Source organism: Homo sapiens, chromosome 20 (genome assembly GCF_000001405.40).
Source record: "Homo sapiens chromosome 20, GRCh38.p14 Primary Assembly".
Lineage (NCBI taxonomy): Eukaryota > Metazoa > Chordata > Mammalia > Primates > Hominidae > Homo > Homo sapiens.
Window position 1 is genome coordinate 48,810,088 of NC_000020.11, and position 19,009 is coordinate 48,829,096.

General features: G+C 50.1%; 1 protein-coding gene across 4 annotated transcripts in view, besides 5 other annotated features; it reads right to left on the minus strand.

The window, feature by feature from the left end:
* PREX1 (phosphatidylinositol-3,4,5-trisphosphate dependent Rac exchange factor 1) overlaps positions 1-19,009 on the minus strand; it is a 263,934-nt gene that overhangs the window by 185,836 nt on the left and 59,089 nt on the right. The window contains exons 1-2 of one of the 4 annotated variants that reach the window (XM_047440331.1): positions 11,319-11,557; positions 9,413-9,668 (exon numbers count right to left, since the gene is read on the minus strand). The exons of 1 other annotated variant lie outside the window; for it this stretch is intronic. Coding sequence is in view for 1 of the 3 variants with exons in the window: in NM_020820.4 (NP_065871.3) it covers positions 17,555-17,773 (219 nt within the window). In the remaining 2 variants the exon portion in view is untranslated. Of the gene's footprint in view, positions 1-9,412; positions 9,669-11,318; positions 11,558-17,554; positions 17,913-19,009 lie in introns of those variants that run through there. 2 more of the 4 variants (NM_020820.4, XM_047440332.1) reach the window with 2 other exon arrangements.
* Positions 9,373-10,370: an enhancer, noted in NCBI's record as "H3K4me1 hESC enhancer chr20:47435997-47436994 (GRCh37/hg19 assembly coordinates)". NCBI's record gives its function as "activates a minimal SCP1, AML or CMV promoter by ChIP-STARR-seq in primed H9 embryonic stem cells {active_cell/tissue: H9 hESC(primed)}" and the evidence as "EXISTENCE:reporter gene assay evidence [ECO:0000049][PMID:30033119]".
* Positions 13,730-13,779: an enhancer, noted in NCBI's record as "active region_18046". NCBI's record gives its function as "activates an Ori minimal core promoter by ATAC-STARR-seq in GM12878 lymphoblastoid cells {active_cell/tissue: GM12878}" and the evidence as "EXISTENCE:reporter gene assay evidence [ECO:0000049][PMID:35858748]".
* Positions 14,070-14,159: an enhancer, noted in NCBI's record as "active region_18047". NCBI's record gives its function as "activates an Ori minimal core promoter by ATAC-STARR-seq in GM12878 lymphoblastoid cells {active_cell/tissue: GM12878}" and the evidence as "EXISTENCE:reporter gene assay evidence [ECO:0000049][PMID:35858748]".
* Positions 17,406-17,475: a silencer, noted in NCBI's record as "silent region_12988". NCBI's record gives its function as "represses an Ori minimal core promoter by ATAC-STARR-seq in GM12878 lymphoblastoid cells {active_cell/tissue: GM12878}" and the evidence as "EXISTENCE:reporter gene assay evidence [ECO:0000049][PMID:35858748]".
* Positions 17,886-18,565: a silencer, noted in NCBI's record as "silent region_12989". NCBI's record gives its function as "represses an Ori minimal core promoter by ATAC-STARR-seq in GM12878 lymphoblastoid cells {active_cell/tissue: GM12878}" and the evidence as "EXISTENCE:reporter gene assay evidence [ECO:0000049][PMID:35858748]".

The window sequence follows — 19,009 nt, forward strand, 5'->3', positions numbered from 1 at the left end:
AGCAATGACTATTGTATCCTTTTAACAGAGAAGAGTGTCTTTGCCTAGTAAACACACAGGAATACTCTTCTCTTCCAAAGAGAAACCTGCTACCTTCCACTTTCCTTAAAACACATAACCCTCTTGGTCTTTCAGTTTTCCATCTGATACACGCAAGGGTTAGAAGAAACATTCCTCTGTCCTCTTAATTCTACAATTAAAAAAAAAAAACCAGGCCTAGTACAGTGGCTCATGCCTGTAATCCCAACACTTTGGGAGGCTGAGGCAGGAGAATCGCTTAAGTCCAGGAGTTCAAGACCAGCCTGGGCAACATAGTGAGACCCTTATCTCTAAAAAAAATTTTTTAATTAGCTGGGCATGGTGACACACACCTGTAGTTACAGCTACTCAGGAGGCTGAGGTGGGAAGGTCACCCCAGGAGGGGTTGGAGGCTGCAGTGAGCTATGATCACACCACTGCACTCCAGCCTGGGCAGCAAGGCAAGATCTCACCTCAATTAAAAAAAAAAAAAAAAAAAGGCAGGGCACGGTGGCTCACTCTTGTAATCCCAGCACTTTGGGAGGCTGAAGCAGGTGGATCATCTCAGATCAAGAGTTTGAGACCAGCCTGGCCAACATAGCAAAACCCCATCTCTATTAAAAATACAAAAATTAGCCAGGCATGGTGGTGCACACCTGTAGTCCCAGCTACTTGGGAGGCTGAGGTAGAAGAATCACTTGAACCCGGGAGGCAGGGGCTGCAGTGAGCTGAGATCGCACCACTGCACTCCAGCCTGGGCGACAAGAGCCAGACTCCTCCTCAAAAAAAAAATAATAATAATAATTAAAAACCAGCAGGGCAAGTGCCATAATAAATGGCAACCAATGTTTGGTCTCAGTGTTAGGAACATGTTATGGAGGGGTGGAGACTGTGGCTAAATGAAGACTGAAGCCCTGTGCCCTGCAGAAGGGGCAGCTGCTCTTCAGGTCCAGCCAAACCAAACGTTGCCTGCAGAAGAGCAAGTGACACATCTTCTGATTACTAAGAAGCCAGAAATAATAGGTTTTTGTATGAAATGTCTTCATTTTTCATTGCTGGCAAGTAAATAACAATTTTTTTTTTATTATTATTAAACATGGGGTTTCACTATGTTTGCCAGGCTGGTCACGAACTCCCGACCTCAGGTGATCCACCCACCTCAGCCTCCCAAAGTGCTGGGATTACAGGCCTGAGCCACTGTACCCAGCCTAAACAAAAAATTTTAAAACAATCCCGTGCAGGCTGACAAAACCCACATATGAGCCTAACCTGGACTTAGGACCCCTGGGTTTGGAACCAGTGGTTCTGATCATAAGTAAAAGGAGGGGCCCTGCTTTCATCACATCTGTGGCCTCAGTAGCTTGTACAAGGCCTGGCCCACAGCAAGGGTACGATCAATGACTTCTGACCAGAGTTGGATACACACACACACACACGTGTGCATGCAAACTACTGACCAGACCTGGATACACACACACACGTGTGCATGCACTCTACTGACAAGACCTGGATACACACCCCCCCACACACACACACACGTACGTGTGCATGCACACTACTGACCAGACCTGGATACACACACACACGTGTGCATGCACACTACTGACCAGACCTGGATACACACACACACCCCTCACACTACTGATCACTGAAGTCAAAGAATCTGAAAGTGAAGTTTCCTAGAGACAAGGGAATCCCCTAGGACAAAACATTCATCCAACTCATTTGGATACAACTTAAACCTCCCTCTCTGTCCTCCAAGGAGTCTTAGCTGTTGGACAAAAGCAGACTATCACGGAATAGGAGTCAGAAAACCTGGGTTTCGGTTCCATCTCAACCGCAGACCCACTTGGGATCCCCAGGCCAAGTGACTGAACAGCTCGGTGCCTCAATTTCCCCTTCCTGAAAAGCGAGATGATTGGATGAGATGATGTCTCAGTGTCTTCCAGCTCCAACAGCCGGTTTCCAGGATTCTAGTGCTAATAATTTCTTTGGGCTAATAAGGACCAAAGGGTCCTAAACCCAGGTTTTTTCAGCCCTCAGTTACTAAATTGACAAAAGAACCGGTAGCAATCAACAAAGATGCAGATGGACTGTCATTGTGAAAAACTGAAAACTACCTAAATGCCCCAATATAAGAGGAATGGGTAAATAATATAAGAGGAATGGGTAAATAACATAAGAGGAATGGGTAAATAATATAAGAGGAATGGGTAAATAACATAAGAGGAATGGGTAAATAACATAAGAGGAATGGGTAAATAATATAAGAGGAATGGGTAAATAATATAAGAGGAATGGGTAAATAATGTAAGAGGAATGGGTAAATAATGTAAGAGGAATGGGTAAAAAATATAAGAGGAATGGGTAAATAATGTAAGAGGAATGGGTAAATAATATAAGAGGAATGGGTAAATAATAATTTTACTAGAATGCTATTATTAAATTATATATTAGTATAATAATTCTTATAAGTATAGCTAATATATATGGAATGCTTACTATGTACCTCGCATTGTTCTGATAGCTTTGCAGGTCCTAATTCACCTAATTCCCCCCTCAATCTAAGAAGAGGGCACTATTTTAGGAGATGAGGAAACCGAGGCACACACAGATGGAGCAGCTGGGCCACTGACCACACAGCAGGCAGGCAGTCAGGATTTGAACTGGACAGTGGCCATGATCCAGCCCCCACATTTCATTACGAAGCCATGAAAGGCTTGCTGATGGAGAGCATTTAGCAGTGACACGAGGAAGTATGCACAAGCAGTACCTGCTGTCGTGTACCAGGCTCAGACCAAATGCAAGGAACAAAGAGGAAATATACCCAAAGATGAAACAGCTATTTGGAAGGGTGAGATCTTTTTATTCATCTTTATTTCCCAAATTTTCTAAAATGAGCGCAGTAACTGCAAACACAGTCATACGTGGTGGGCGTCCTAGGGAGCCGGCTCCACACCCAGCACTCACCTACTCTACTCCACCCCCAACGGCCCAGATGTCGGCCTGCCCTGCATCCTGCTGTATCCCAGCATCTGGGCCAGGCACACAGTAGGTGCTTAACACAATGTGTTGGAACAAGGGAACAAGTCTATGAGGTAGGGACAGCGATTTCCCCATTTTATAGCTGAAGAAACTGAGGTCCAAGAATCAGCTTCCCGAGGTCACAGAGCTGGTCACAGAGCTTGGCTCTGGGACAAGCATGAGCACATCTCAGTGGAGACTCTCTACTGAGGACAATCAAAATCACCAGAGCTGGACTGCCAAATACAATGCGTGATCCAGGACTAGATCCTGGACTGGGGGTGGGGATGGGCGAGGAGATGGGTATAGGGAACACTTGGGGAGAAATAGTGAAATCTGAATATAGACTGTGCATTGTATCATTTAGTATAAATGTTGACTTGCCTGATTTTGTTGTTGAAGGCACTGTGGTTACACAAGAGAACGTCTGTCTTCCTAAGTGATGCATGCCAAGGTTTGCAGGGGCATCCTGTCTGCAATTACTCTCAAATAGATCAAAATAATAATAACGTGTGTGTGCATGATGGAGACAGGGAAGAAGAAAGGAAAGGGAGAGGGGGAGCGATCAAATAAAAAGTTACCAAAAAGTTAACTCTGAAAAGAACATATTAAATTGCCCAGAAATACAACATGTTTGGTTTTGTGCCTAGACTGCCATATGTGTGTAGAAATGAATAATATATGCAGCCAGGTATACACACAAAATATCATTTTACCATACTGGGTTCCATAAGAGCGCCTGTAGCTGAACAGACATAAGGGAATGTGCTTTTGATACTGACACCTCCACTGTATTTACTACCTTTGTGTTCAAGGGGAAATAAATCTTTAAAACCACCCAATCAACAGCTTGGTGGGCCACTGGCTGGTGGCTGAGACCACCCAGAGCTCCCTGACGTGGCAAATAAAACTTTCCAATCCCTTTGCCCTCCCCAGTGTGGTAAGGGCAGGAGGCCAAGGAACCCAGGCTGCGGCTGCCCCTACACGTGGGTTCATGCTCCCAAGACACAGTCATGGCCAGGAAGGCCTCTGCCACAGAGTGGGCCCCATTCAGCCCCTTTTGCTCATGCATTCATTTCTTCCACAAATGCTAACACAGTCCCCATTAAGTGCTAATCACCAGGGACTTGGCCATGAACACAGCAGACAAGGGCTGTGACCTCATGCAACTTACATTCTAATGGGAGAGACAGATACTAAACAAATAAATCAACAAGATAATTCCAGGCAGTGACAGGTCAAGAAGAAAATCAGTGCAGTGGCGTAGAGAAAGGGACTAGAAGGCTCTCTGAGGAAGCGGCACTTGAGCTGAGAGCTGAAAGAGAAAGGGGGGTCCTTGGTACAAATCAGGGTTCCAAGAGCTCCAGGTAATAGGAAGAGCAAAGGAAAAGGCTTAGAGGCTGGAGCCAGTTGAATACAGTGCAAGAATAGAAAGAAATGTGGTGGGGCCTGGACAGAATGAACAAGGCGGGGAGATGAGGTCTGCACAGTGAGCTAAAGCTGGATCACATAATACCTTCTAAGCCATCATAAGGAGCTGGGATTCGATTAACCTCCATGTTCCACCTCCAGCAGAGTGAGGATGGGGGAGGAAGAGGACTCCTTGTGCTGTTAATGTCCGTAGCAAACAAACCAGAATGAAATGGCAGGGTGTTGGAGCTAAACCGAACCCTGTCAGTAATTACATTAAATATACATAAGCTAAACAGTCTAATTAAAAGGTTGCGACTGTCAGAATGGATTTAGAAAAGCAAGACCCAACTATATGATGCCTGTAGGAGATGCACTTGGAATATAAAGACACAGAGGCAGAAACGAAAAAAATGGAAAACAGTAAGCAGAAGAAAGGCAACATGGCTATAGCAATATCAGACAAAATAGGCTTCAAGACAAGGAGCATTATCAGAGATAAAAAGGAGTATTTCATAATGATAAAAGGATCAATTCACCAGGAAGACATAATCATAAATGTGTATTTCCAGCAAGAGAACTTTAAAATGCAAAAAGTAATAACTGACAGAACTCAAAGGAGAAAAACATAAATCTATAGTCACAGATGGAGACTTCCAGAGCCTTCTCTCAATAACTACCAGAACAAGGAGACCAAGCATCTGTAAGGATATACAGATCTGAACAACACTAACAACCACCTTGATCCAAATGACATTTGTAGAACACTGCACCCAACGACAGCAGAAGACACATTCTTTTCAAATGTACATGAAATGGTCCCTAAGGTAGACTATCTGCTGGGTCATAAACCAAGTCTCAATTTCAAAGGATTGAAAACCCACAGAATATGTTCTCTGAACACAAATTGGAAATCACTAAACAATGAGTTATCTGGAAAAGCCCTAATATGTGGAGATCAATGCAATCAGATGGGCTTCCTCACTCCCCACCCCACACTCAGAGTAAACAGCACAGACAACATCTGGCGTAAATGTCCCCTGGGAGAAAGCAGTCAGGCATCTGTCCCGTGGCCAGGTCTAAGCCTACACTCCTAGGTAACGGGGGTACCAGGATGGGGTAGATGCTCTGGTTTCAACTTCAACAACCCAGTTGGCAAATCATTTCAAGAGATGCTGGGGCGGCCGGGCACAGTGGCTCATTGCCTGTAATCTCAGCACTTTGGGAGTCAGCCGAGTGGGCAAATCACCTGAGGTCAGGGGTTTGAGACCACCAGCCTGGCCAATGTGGCGAAACCCTGTCTCTACTAAAATTACAAAAATCAGCCAGACGTGTTGGCACATGCCTGTAATCCCCGCTACTCGGGAGGCTGAGGCAGGAGAATCGCTCGAACCTGGGAAGTGGAGGTTGCAGTGAGCCGAGATTGCACCATTGCACTCCAGCCTTGGCAACAGAGTGAGACTCTGTCTCAAAAAAAAAAGAAAAAAAGGAAAAAAAAAAAAAAAAACAGAGAGATGCTGGGGGTCTGTGTACTGTGTTGGAGAGACCAGGTCTTACCAGCGAGGAAACCACACCTCATAATACAGCCCACCTGCCCCGTCTCGCTCAGAATGAGCCAGAATGAGGCCAACAGCCAATCAGTTCACCTTACTCAGGGTTCACTCTGGGCAGGGCCAGAGAGGGAGTAAATAAAGTAAAGCACAGTGGTCACAAATATGGGCTCTGGAGTAGAATAATCCTGAGTTCAAACCCACCACTGACCATTGTTGGTGGGCAGAACCCTGAGATGGCCCCAGGATCACTGCCCCCTGTGTCCACGCCCTGGAGGATCCTTTCCCATTTCATGTAAGTGGGACTGTCATTGTGACTGGTAAATGACAGAGGCGAAGGGATTTTGCAGATATAATCAGGGTCCAAAATCAGCTGACTGAGTGAGCCTGACCTAATCAGGTAAAGCCTTAAAAGACGCCTGCGGGGGATAAAGCAGGGAGAAGAGTACAAGTACACTTCTAGGCCCTTCCTAAAGGAAGAGATTCAAAGCAAGTGATTCACCTGCTGGCCGTGATGTGGCTATGTTGTGGCAGGACCACACCCCTAAGACTCAAGGCACCTCTAGGAAGTGAGGGTGATCACCAGCCAATACCCTGCAAAAAATGGGGACCCCGGCTCCACAATGCACGCAACTAAATTCTGCCAACAACCCTATGCAGATCCCTCCCATGCCCCACACCCTCCTCGCTCCAAGCATCAGATGAGATCACAGCCCGGGTCAACACCCTGATGGCAGCCTCATGAGACCTTCAGTAGAAAACCCAGTTACATTGCACCCAGACTTCTGGCCCACAGAAACTTCGAGGTAATTAACAGGCGTTATTTTAAGCCACTAAATGTGTGGTAACTTGTTTGGCAGCAACAGATAACTAATACGCCATCTCTGTGTGATCCTAGGCAAGTGACCTCACCCTCTCTGGGCCTCAGTTTCCTCATCTGCAAAACTGCAAGGCTGTAAATGAAACAGGATGTGTAACAGCCTCACCCAGAAAGTGGGAAGCAGCGTGTTCTGTGCCCTTTCAGGTTCATGGAGGGATTTCACAGCAGGGCAATGGGAGGTGCTGTCATGTATTTTTGAGACACCAATCTGTTTTTTCAATCTTCGGAGGGATTGCTTGGAGAAGAGAGTGAACAGCAACTTCTAGCTCCAACTTACAGCCATCCCAGTTACTCCCAACTGCCTTCAGAGTGCACAGACCAATGTCCAGGGCAAGGGACCACTTGGTCAAAATAAATTCAGTCACTTATTTCAAGTCCCAGGAAGGATCTCAGGCAGTGTGTTCAAGATGATATGCTGTAACTGTTCCTCTGCAAAAAGTAGGGAAATACTAAGATTCTAAAACAGAATGTTTAAAAATAACCTCACTAATTACTGGGGCCTGCTCAGGTGCCAGGCAGTGAGCCAAGTGTCTCAACATATTTTATAGATGAGGAAACCAAGGTTCAGAGAGGGAAAGCTTCTTGCCCAAGGTCACACAGCTGCTGAGGCGCAGAGATAAGATTCAGACCCAGACAATCTGGCTAGGCCCCTGGCACTTGAGCACAATGCCACACTGTAAAAAATTCTCCTGTGCAAAATCCCCCAGCTCACATACCCACATAGTCAAAAGACACCAGACCATCTTAGTCCCCAGAAGTCTGCACAAAAATGCTTAGCAATTATATAATTCAAAACAATCACATCATGTAATAAAACATAGGCACATATAGAAGCAATTTTTTTCATTCAAAAAATACTTAATGAGCATCTACTATGTAGCAGGCATTGTTGGTGCTGGAGATCAAAATCTCTATTCTCTTGGCATGCCTGTGACATTCCAGCGAGGGAGGCAGACAATAAGTAATAAATAAGTAAAATGTCCAGTGTGTTAGCTAGTGGGAAAAAAACAACGCAAGCAAAGGAAGAAATGGTGAGGTGGGGATGTGCGGTGTCAGAAAAGACCCAGTCAAGAACATGATTTTGAGCAAAGGCCTGAAGGAGGTGGAGGGCTGAGCCACGGGGACACTGGGAGGTGGGAGGGAGCGCATTCCAGACAGCACAGGTGCAAGGGCCCTGAGGCAGGTGCGTGCTTGGTGCATTTGAGAAAAGGCAAATGCGCTTGGAGGAAGTGGGCGAGGGGGTAAGAGCTACCCAGAAGATTCTGGAACTGGATAATGGGGATGACTGCATAACTTGGTGAATATACTCAAAACCACCGAATCGTACAGTTTGAAAGGGTGAGGTTTATGATTTGTGAATTCACATCTCAGTTTTTAAAACTTTATGGGGAAAAAGGAGTAATGAAAGAGGAGCTGAGAGAGCCAAGAGGGGCAGGTCTTGTGCGACATTCCAGGCCAGACTAAGGACTGCTTTTATGCTAAGTGAGATGTAACTGTAACTGATTAGGGTCTCACTGGATCCCTCTGACTGCGTAAGGAGAACAGAATGCGGGAGGCCAGGGCGAGATCAAAAGAGTCAACTGCAACGGCCCTGGCCATTCCCGGCTGCGCGTCCTCAGGTACGCCACTTCCCCTCTCTGCAGCTATTTTCCTCATGCAGGAAGTGGGCCTGAAAAATCCATCCCCCACAGGGCAGAGGTGAGAGCTAATAGACAGTAAAGTGCTGTTATGATGCCTATGCATGGAGGGTGGAGTACCGATCCCGCCAAACAGTTTTTAATTATGCAAATGAGTTTCCTGAACAGAAAACAAGGGGCACCTTCCTTTGTCTCAGGAAGCAGAGGTTCATCTCGCATCAACAGCCCTCCCAGCCCAGAGGCAGCTGCCTTCACAGCTCATCCACATTCTGGCCACAGATGGGGGCCCAAACTCCTCTTTGGGTGTGGTTGGGTCCACTGGCCTCCTCCAGGAAGCCTGCCCTGGTTACTTGGTAACCCAGTACCCACAGGAAAGCTGAAACCCAAAGAGAGGACAGAACCAGCCGTAGGTCACAGAGCAGCCTGGGAGCAGGCAGGGGATCTGCTGTGGGAGGGGACGGTACACCCATTCCTCTCTGAGACCTTAGTAAGACCATTGCACAGTCTTGGTTTCCACGTCACCAACTGACCCATGCCATATCCAACTGAAAGCACTCTGGTGGCTCCTCACACCACCAGAAATAAAACCCAAACTGCTCACCATGCATCTGAGGCCCATGCGACCTGGACCCCACCAACATGCCAATCTCATCTCCCTTACTCTCCCCTCCAGCCACCCTGGCCTCTTACTGTTCCTCAAACAAGCCTGGCACAGTCCTGCCTCAGGGCCTTTGCATCTGCTGCTCCCACTGCCTGGAACACACTTTTCTCCACTCTTTCCACCAGGGCTCCTTCTCCTCCTTCAGGACTTGGTCAAATGTCATCTCCCTAGAAAAGCCTTCCTTGCCCATCCCATCTAAAGTAGATGCGACCATCCCTGTCACAAACATCACCTCATTTTATTTCCTTCTGTCTGAATCCACTCCCCAGCTGTGTGGACTTCAGCAAGTTACTCAGCCTCTCCCGGCTTTAGTTTCCCCATCTGCAAAATAGGTATAATGATGATATTGACCTCAGGGAGTTGCTGCAAGGGCTCAAGAAGCATGTGGCACAGTACCTGGAACAGAGCAAGGCCTCAGTGGGTGTCCTTATTATGACAACTCTGGTCCTTTTCTCAAGGGATTTCTTTTTGCGGTGTCTGAAGATTCCCTGAGGGCAGAGACCTTGTCTGTCTTGTTCCAGCCACATGCCAGCACCTAGCACAGTGCCTGGCACACAGTGGGTGCTGAATGGCCATTTATTGAATGAATAAGTCGATTAGTGGATGAAAGCATCAACTGCCCACACCCTGACCCCGGCCTCGCTCCTCCTGAGAGATGCACAGAAGCCACCCACCCTCCCAGCAAGGGGGGAAGCACAAGACCCTGGGTCCTGACGGCCAATGGCCACCTGCCTGCACCAGCTTTCAGTGGCCCCAGTCCCGCCAGCCTGAAATAGTCTCGCCTCCCCTGGCCCAGAATCAAGGGATCGTCTGTCAGTTCCATCCTGGGGAAGGAATCAGGCGGGTAAACACAGATTGAGTGTCTGACCACAAGACAAAAGAAGAGCAGACAGATTCCCTTCTGGTCCTCAAGGAGCCAAGAAAATAAAAATAAGCTCAAAAATCTACACAGGGCTGGAAGGCTGGAGGGCTCTGCTTCTTCCTTGGGACTTCCTCCGGGAGGAGGGGTGAGCCCGCACACAGTCACTGTACTCCCCAGAGTAACCCTAGGAGTGCTGGGGTCATCCCCATTTTGCAGATGGGGAAACCAGGACTCAGAGAGGCAAAGCAACATCCCCAAGGTCACACAGGGGAAGAGCTGGGATCTGAACCCAGGCAAGGTGGCTCGAGAGTCTGTGCTCTAAACCATGAACCGCAAGAGAGGGAGCCTCCCAGACACTCTGCTGGGTGAAAAGGGCAAACCGTATTATGCTACTTACATAAACACATCAATCTCACGTATTTCCACACAGGCATGCTAATGCCCCCACACGATCTGAGAGCACAGGTGGTAGTCAAAGGAGCTTTTAGCCCAGTGGTTCTCAACTGGGGGCTATTTTTCACACCCAACCACCTCTAGTGGATACCTGGAATATCTGGAGACATCTGTGGTTGTCACAACTGGGGAAGAGGGGTCCTACTGGCATCTGGTAGGTAGAGGCCAGCGATGCTGCTAAACATCTTACAATGCACAGGACAGCACCCCCACAGCAAAGAATGGTCCAGCCCCGTATGTCGACAGTGCTGAAGGCTGAGAGACTAGTGGGATTTGCTCCAGACCAACGCTAGGGCCAGAAATGACCCCGTGAAACCTCTTCAAGAGGGACTTTTGGCCGGGCATGGTGGCTCACGCCTATAATCCCAGCACTGTGGGAGGCCAAGGCGGGCAGAACACTTGAGGTCAGGAGTTCAATACCAGCCTGGTCAACATGGTGAAACCCTGTCTCTACTAAAAAAATACAAAAAGTAGCCGGGCATGGTGGCACGTGCCTGTAGTCCCAGCTATTCGGGAGGATGAGGCAAGAGAATCGCTTGAACCCGGGAGGCAGAGGTTGAAGTGAGCCAAGATCACGCCACTGCACTCCAGACTGGGCGACAGTACAAGACTCCATCTTAAAAAAAAACGGGGGGATTTTTGATCCTGGCTAAAACACAGATCCCCAGAAAAGGATGTGGGCCACCAAGCTCTCTTCCCAGGTATCTGGGGATGGAACTCTAACAAACTGAGTGGCTACTGCCCTTAACTGGTGCTCACCTCCCCTCTGGGGACGCAATTTATGTCACCTGCAAAACAAGGAGATTCAGACCGAATGACCCACCTGGCTTCTGTTCAAGATCTCCGAAACGCAGGGCAGGAATCAGCTCCGACCTGGCCCCATGTCTGGGGAATGATGCTGTGGGACACAGCACACAGGTTTGAGGGGCAGCCCACCCTATCACCCACCTCCCTCCAGTATTCTAGCCAGCATGCCTGTGTCTGTTGGAAAAAAAGAAAAGCCCCAAAAATCTGGAGAGGTCAGGTTCTCCTGCAGCCAGGCATGACCTGCTTCAAACACTTAAACTCTTGCAAAACCTTTAAGGGAGAGCGGCTGTGAAGCAAATAGGATGTGGGTTTCTTTATTAAAGGGAGTGGCCCCAAGCCCAACAGGTCTTCAGCTCTCTGGCCTGATAAAGGAGTATCTTTCTCTCCAAGAAAGGGGTGCCCTGAAGTCTCAAAAGCCAGAGACACCAACCCCATTCGCGTCTTCTTAAAGTGACAGTTAAATTGCTACCAGGGCAAACACCAGAATAAAAGTAGGTAGGCTTCCAGAAGGTTTGTCTGAAGAATGAGTTGTAGAATCCCCACAGGGTTGTCCTTCTTATAAGGACAACGACCTGTTGATGACTTCATTCTCGTGGCCCAGAACACTGCCCAGGATATACAGCAGATGCTCCATAAATACCTGCACACAGAGAAAAGCAGTCTCATATCTTCATGGTTTTATCTGTACAGAGCTCTCTGTCTGCCATACATTAAAAAAAATGTAACCCATCTAAATCCTGCTGACACTCAGTTTTTACCATCAAAAGATTTTCACTGACTTCCTGATGATGATGAGCCCAACACAAGGTGGCCTGTTCCAGGCTCTCCGGCATCTGAAAACTGAAATAAGGTGGACTTTTTGACTTAATTCTTGCCCACCTGGGCAGCCCAGAGGTCTCACAGGGGCAGTAATTTTGCTCATGAACACAGCCTCATTTTGGTGCAATTCAGGATAGTGGTGAAGAATGTGGGCCATGCAGCCGCATTACCTGGGTCCAAGTGCCAGTTCTGTCAGGCTGTGTGACCTTGGGAAACTGACTTGGCCTCTCTGTGTCTTTGTTTCATTTGTAAAACAGGAAGCATAAGAATACCTGCAACTTTTGAGTTAATGCTTAAGGAACTTATAAACAGGGCTTGCAAGTATATAAATATTAGCAAATTGTTACCATTATTACTGTTGCATTAATCTAATAACCATGTTGAAAATACAATTCTTCCTGTCGGCTTCTTAAAAAATATATTCGCATACATATGCATAATTTTATATGAAAAGGGTATTATAAACAGGATTTTACTTCCTTATCTTCCTGGTTGCCTTTCTGTAAAAGATACACATCCTTCCATCCTTTTCTCCAACCTAATGTCACCTTATACATATAACACACGTGTATATTATGGTTATTGTTTATTTTCCAAAAGAACTGTGTTACATATACCTCTCAGCATCCTACTTTTCATATGAGGACCACGTGAAAATCCCCCCAAGTTACTGGGGAGGTCCCTCTGCCTCAATGACTGTGAAATCAAAGACCTGCCCCCACCCCAACCACCCGTGGCATTTCTCCCTAGTGTGAGACTAGGAGTACAGAATCTTTTAAAACAGAAAAAAAAATAGTGACAACAAAAAACCACAGTTTCTTGTTTGGCAAGCGGAGCTCCAATGAGAAGAAAAACTTTTGTCTCCTCCCTCCAAAAAGCAGAACCACAGAAAGCATTCTGGGAGCTTTCTGCCCACAATCCCTGTTCCTCAGAGACTCCCATCCTGGTCGGTTCCGGGCAGACCCTCTGTGTCTCTATAGCTCTCTGTCCTCAGCCACGGGGAGACCTTCGAGGAGCTGCTGACCAACTCCCACCCACCGGCCTCTCTGCCCACCCACCCAGGCCCTCTCTTCTCTTTCGACCACTGCCCAGCTGACACACCCCATCATGGGAGTTACTGGCACCTGCCCCTGAGGTGCCTCCCCTTGGCAGGTGGGCCCAAGGTCTACTCAGCCTCCTCTAGGGGAGTGGGGGGCAAGCTTCACCACATCCCTGTGACGCAGGTGCTACACTGTGCCCGTTGGACAGATGTGGAAACTGAGGCACAGAGCAAGTCAGTGATCAGCCCAAGGTCACCTACAGTCCAAGTGGAAGAAGCCTGGATTTGAACACCAGCAGCATGACTCCAGAGCCTCACTCAACCCTCGTGCCATGAACAGACCCGGAGCCCAGAGCAAGAACTCGGCAGCCTGCCATTTCTATCCGTCCACAGTTCTTCCCATTCTGTGGAGAAAAGAATGGGAGTCACAGAGGGCAAGTAACAGGAGGAAGCGCAGGCGGAGGTGAAACATCACACAGACCTGGGTTCAAATCCCAGTTCTGCCACCTTAATAAATCATGTGCCAAGCCCTTCTTGGATCAGCCAAAGGCGGTCTATCAAGTGGCTGGGGACATGAGTTGTGGGGTCAGGCAGCCTAGGATCAAATCCTGGCAATGCTGTCCACCTGACCCAGAGCAGCTCACTTAGATTCACTTTGCCTCAGTTTCCTCACCTCTCAATGGGGATAAAAACAGCATCCCCTTCATAAAGAAAATTAAATGAGTTGACACATGCAAAGTGCTTAGAATGGCAAGTGATGAATCAAAGTCAGTTCCTGCACAGCAATGACTGTCATTGTTTTCATCATGACTAACGCTGCCCAGAGCACACGGGGAGTACCCCACATAGCCAGGGCCTCGAAATGATTCGAGCCAAGGTTCTGAGTCAAAACCCCAGGCACTGTTTCCCCCAAGACCGATCCAGCATCTCTGTGAAAGGGCTGTCCTTGCCTTTTCATGATTATTTAATAAACACACGCAAAACACCAAACTCAGAGGACTCCCTGGAGATGAGGGAGGGAGTGCAACCCAGTTCCTGAAGGAGATGGGGAAAGATGGGAAGATTCTCAAGGAACCACAAAGCCCTCGGCCTGGAACCAAACAAAACCACTGGTTCCTGTGGCCGGAGTTTAGGGTGTCAAAAGGAAACTCACTCAGAGCCCCCATCCTCCTCTCAGTGCTGACTTAACTCAGACCTCACTTCCTCCAGGAAGCCCTCTCTGATCACCCCTGCTCTCTGGATGCTGAAGTCCCACAACCCTAATTATCTGTATTATTTAATTTTCCTACAACAACAATAATAACCAATATTTATATACCTTACTGCCAGACACTGTTCTAAGTGCTTTACATCAATTTCTATAACTCACTTATCTTCTTTAAAAACCTATAAAATAGGACCTATTAACATCCCTCTTTTTACAAATAAGGCTCAAACAGGTTAAGGTGTTTGCCCAAGGTCACAAGTCCAAGGATTTAACCTCAAGCAGTCTGGCTCCAGAGCCTTGCACTTGGATTGTTTTTTTTAAACACCCATTTGGCCATCCTCCACTACACCGTCCTCTCCTTGAGGACAGAAGCCACACATGGCCCCTATCACGGGGGTTACTTTCCACGGTTTCCATGGGCCGATGGGACCTTCACACCAAGGACACACGGAGACCAGGGTGGTCCTTTAAGGCCTGCCTCTAACCACATGGAAATAAAAGCAGGGAGGGATTACCGTGCATTCTTCCAAGCCAGGAGACAGCAGGGAAAATCCCTTAGCAAATATAAAGGCTGAGAAGAGAGAGTGGGAAGACAGAAGAGAATCACAACCTGAGGCTGCCAGCCTTGCAACCATGGAAAGCCTTGGTAATTAGCAGTTCCTGAAGCTCTAAGCCCCAGGTTAGTTTTGAAAACGAAAATGCCTTGGGATGTTTAGGGGCCATTCCTGACGGGCCAAGATGAGAGAGGACTCCTGTGGCTCACAAACAACGTATGGCTGGTCAGGTTACACAATCCGTCTGTTTCTGGCACCAGCTTGGGGACACACAAAAGGCCCAGGCAGAAAGGAAGCCCGGATTCCCCGCTCCTTGTTTCACAGGTGGGGAAACTGAGGTCAGGACACGTAGCATGATTGGTCCAAGACACATGTCCAAGTCAGAACCAATTCATCTCAGAACTGACACATCAGATACAAAAAGAAAAATGTGATGAAGTCAGCAAATGTAAAGTGTTAAGGAGATAATGTGAAAGTAGAGAAATCTTTTTTTTTCCTGTTTCTTGAATAATAAGAATGGTTGGCTCCAATCAATTTCCATTATTCCAGCTTCCTCCTACTCTACACGTGGACGATTTAAAACCACAGTTAACTCAAACACAATCTAGATCTGTTCTAAAATGAAACACACCATCTAGGGCAGGGGCGTGGGAGGGAGAGGTATATTTTCTTTCCCATTAATATCAAAATTGGTTTGTATTTCCTGTTTCTCTTCCAAGCAGAGGAGCATGGAGTGGCTCAGAAGGAGAAGTCAGGAGTTCCCTAGAATTTGACATTGCTCAGAGACACCAGGGTTGTCTACATGTTTAATTCAAAAACTGCCAGCTTCTAACAGAACAAATTCTTCCCCCACCCCCCACCCCCGAAACTGTGAGAGAAGAAGGGATGGGAAAGAAAGCCAATCCTGCCTTATTCTTACAGGCCTTCCTAGAAGGGTCCTTTAGCCAAATGGTTTTCAATGCTTCTGCACAACCCCCTCTCCCACATCCCCCTGCCCCCAGTACATCTCCTTTCACAGGCAGAAGGGCTCTAGTCTAAGGCTGTCTCCTCCCTGAGCTGGAACTCTGATCTCACACAGCCTCAGCTGCACCCCTAAGCCATGAGGAGCCCCAGAGGACCCCAGAGTCTCCCTCTTTCTCCCAAAGACTAGGAGCTACAAAGCCTGGCTCTAGGGTCTTTGAAAGAGCCACCCCCACACCAGCCCTTCCTGAACCAGGATTAAAAGACTTCCTAGAGCAGAGAAGGGGAGTAAATGAGGCCCCAGCAGGAGGCATGGAGATTAAAGACTTTAGAGTCTCCTAACTTCCATCCAAGGCTCTGCCCCGTCCCACCCCCTCCACCCGCTGGCCACTTTTCTCACTTCCTAGGAGAGTAGGGAAGTGGCCCCTTCCTCCCTCTCACAGAAAAAAAGCAAAAGAAAAATGCAGCATAGAATAGGGGTTTAGAACACCAGCTGGGATAGTCCCGGTTCAAAGCCCAGTACCCCCACTTAATCAGCTGTGCGATCCCAGACAAGCTACCCGGCCCCTCTGGAGCTAAACTTTCCCAATCTTAAAAACGGAGGAGGCAGGACCCAGTAGCTCACGCCTGTAATCCCTGCACTTTGGAGGCCGAGGTCGGCGGATCACTTGAGGCCAGGAGTCCAAGACCAGCATGGCCAACATGGTGAAATCCCCTCTCTGATAAAAATACAAAAATTAGTCGGCCGTGGTGGCTGGCGCGTGCCTGTAATCCCAGCTACTCGGGAGGCTGAGGCAAGAGAATTGCTTGAACCCGGGAGGCGGAGGTTGCAGTGAACCGAGATTGCGCCACTGTACTCCAGCCTGGGTGACTGAGGGAGACTCCGTCTCAAAAAAAAATTTTTTTAATTAAAAATGGGGGAAATACTCGTCCCTACTTCATAGACCGCCTGTGAAGGTTAAACCTGCTAATTAATGACACATGTAAGGTGTCTGGCACATAGTAAGTGGTCGGTTGTTATTTTACAAAGTCTGAGGCCGTGGTTTTGCACTTGGAGATGGGGAGTTGGTGGGGGTGGATGCAGTTAGGGAGCCTGGACTGCCGAGTTTTGAGTTCGAAACCCACTCTCCCCGAACTCCAGCAAAAACCTGTGCATGGGGGATTCTACCCTGGGGTTCTGTCAATCCCCGCCCCTCCTCTGAGCTTCAGGTTTTATCCTACTCCATCAACGCGCAGGGACGTTGGGCTCTGGGGCTCCTACGGTATGTCCTAGATGAGTGGTGCACCGGGCGCGTAGTTATTCCTGGGAAAAAGACGCAGGAGCGCCAGCTCCCGGCGCCGCCGGGGTCCCCAAGCCCCTGCATCGCGGATGTAACTAATTTTAAAACTATTTGAAAGGCGGGGACGGGGAAGAAAAGACAAAAGGGCAGCGCGCGCCGCGGGGAAGTGGAGTGCGGGAGAGCCCCGGTCGGAGCAGGACCGTGCGCCGGCCAGGGAGGGAGGCGACGCGACAGCTCTGGAGGAGCTCGGATCCCCCCCGCTTTCCGCGCGCCCTGCGGGGCGCCCCCGAGGCAATTCTCCACCCACGGGGACCACGGCCACAGGTTGTGGGGACCGCAGCGGGGCGAGCGGCTGGAGGGAAAGCTGTCCCCAAGCTCCCGAGCGACACTCACCGACTGCAAGAAGCGCAAGGTGCCCACGTAGTCCCTCTCGGTGCCCAAGATCTCGTTGAGGACGCAGAGGCGGAGGCGCAGCTGGCGCTCGGACTCCCGGGCGGCCGCGCACGGGCCGGGGCCGGAGCTGGGCGCCGCGGCGCCAGGGGCCCGGGGGTCCGGGTGGGCGCAGTCCCCGGCCCCGTCGCCGCCGGGCTCGCTGCCGCTGGGCGCCTCCATTCTAGCGCGGCCGCGCGGCGCCGGCTCCTTCCGTCGCGCCGAGCGGCAACTCAGGCGTCCAGGCGCCCCATCCCGGACGGGGCGCGCCGGCGGGCCGGGCTCAGCGGCGGGCCGGGCTCCCGGCGCGGCGGGCGGGACTGGGGGCCGGGCGGCTGGGCCGGGGGCGGAGGCAGCGCGCGGGGGCCGGGCGAGGGGCGGGAGGGGGCGGCCCTCGGGGCTCCCAGACGGCTGGCCCCCCGCCCCCGCGCCAGGGACCGTCTGCCAAGTGCCACGCCGCGCTCGGCCGCAGAGGCGCTCTGCGCGTGCACGGGGCCCCTGGGGACGCGGCGCGGCGCTCGGCGCCTCCGTCGGAAGCTCGGGGGTCGGGCGGGAGCCTCCGGAAGGGCCCCGCGGAGCCGGGAGTCCGAGGCCGCGCGCACGCCGAACCGAGCGTACCAACTCCGCGCCCGGACGCGTGGCGCCCCCCCAACCCGCAGTCACCGCGGGCTACGCCACTCCCACCCGGCACACGCGACACCCGCCGCGCGCAGGCTCCTGCTTGCAGGTCCGGCCGCTGCTCGGGCCAAGTAAACACCGGGCTGGGAAAGCTCGCTGCGGAGCCGCTCGGGGGCAAGCCAGCCCCGCCACGCGCGCCTCCGCGGCCCCGGGAAGTCAGGGGCGACCGCTGCCTGGGCAGTGACGGCCCCTCTCTGGGCAGTGACGGCCCCTCCCGGGAACGCCGGGCCCTCGCGGTGCCCTCGGTGCTACCACGACCTTGGGAAGGAACATGCGTGGCGCGCGCTCGCTCTCACTTTTCTCTTTCCCGTTTCCTTTCCCATCTCTCTCTTTCCTTCCTTCCTTTTCTTTCTGAACTTCTTTGCCCCCTGACCCTGCCCTTTCCACCTTTCCCAGAAGAAATTATTACCTGCTCTTGAGTTATTGATCAAGTGGCAGGTACCCTGCCTGCTCCCCCTTCCATCCACCCACCCCATGGGATAAGGCCTTGGGAAACCCAGCTTCTTGTCAGGTTGCTCTGGGCAATGTTGATCATCACCCGCCTTATCGGAAGGTATGGAGAGGGGAGGAAGTTCTGGGGCCTAGAGTCAGCTGCTCAGGTTCAAATCCTAGCTCCCCACTTGCTGGCCGGGTGGCCTTGGGCTGGTTTCCTTGCTTCAAGATCCTCAGTGTTTTCATCAGTATAACGGGAACGATCATGGTACCTAGCTCCAAGGTCCTCCCCGGGGTTCCATGGGAAGT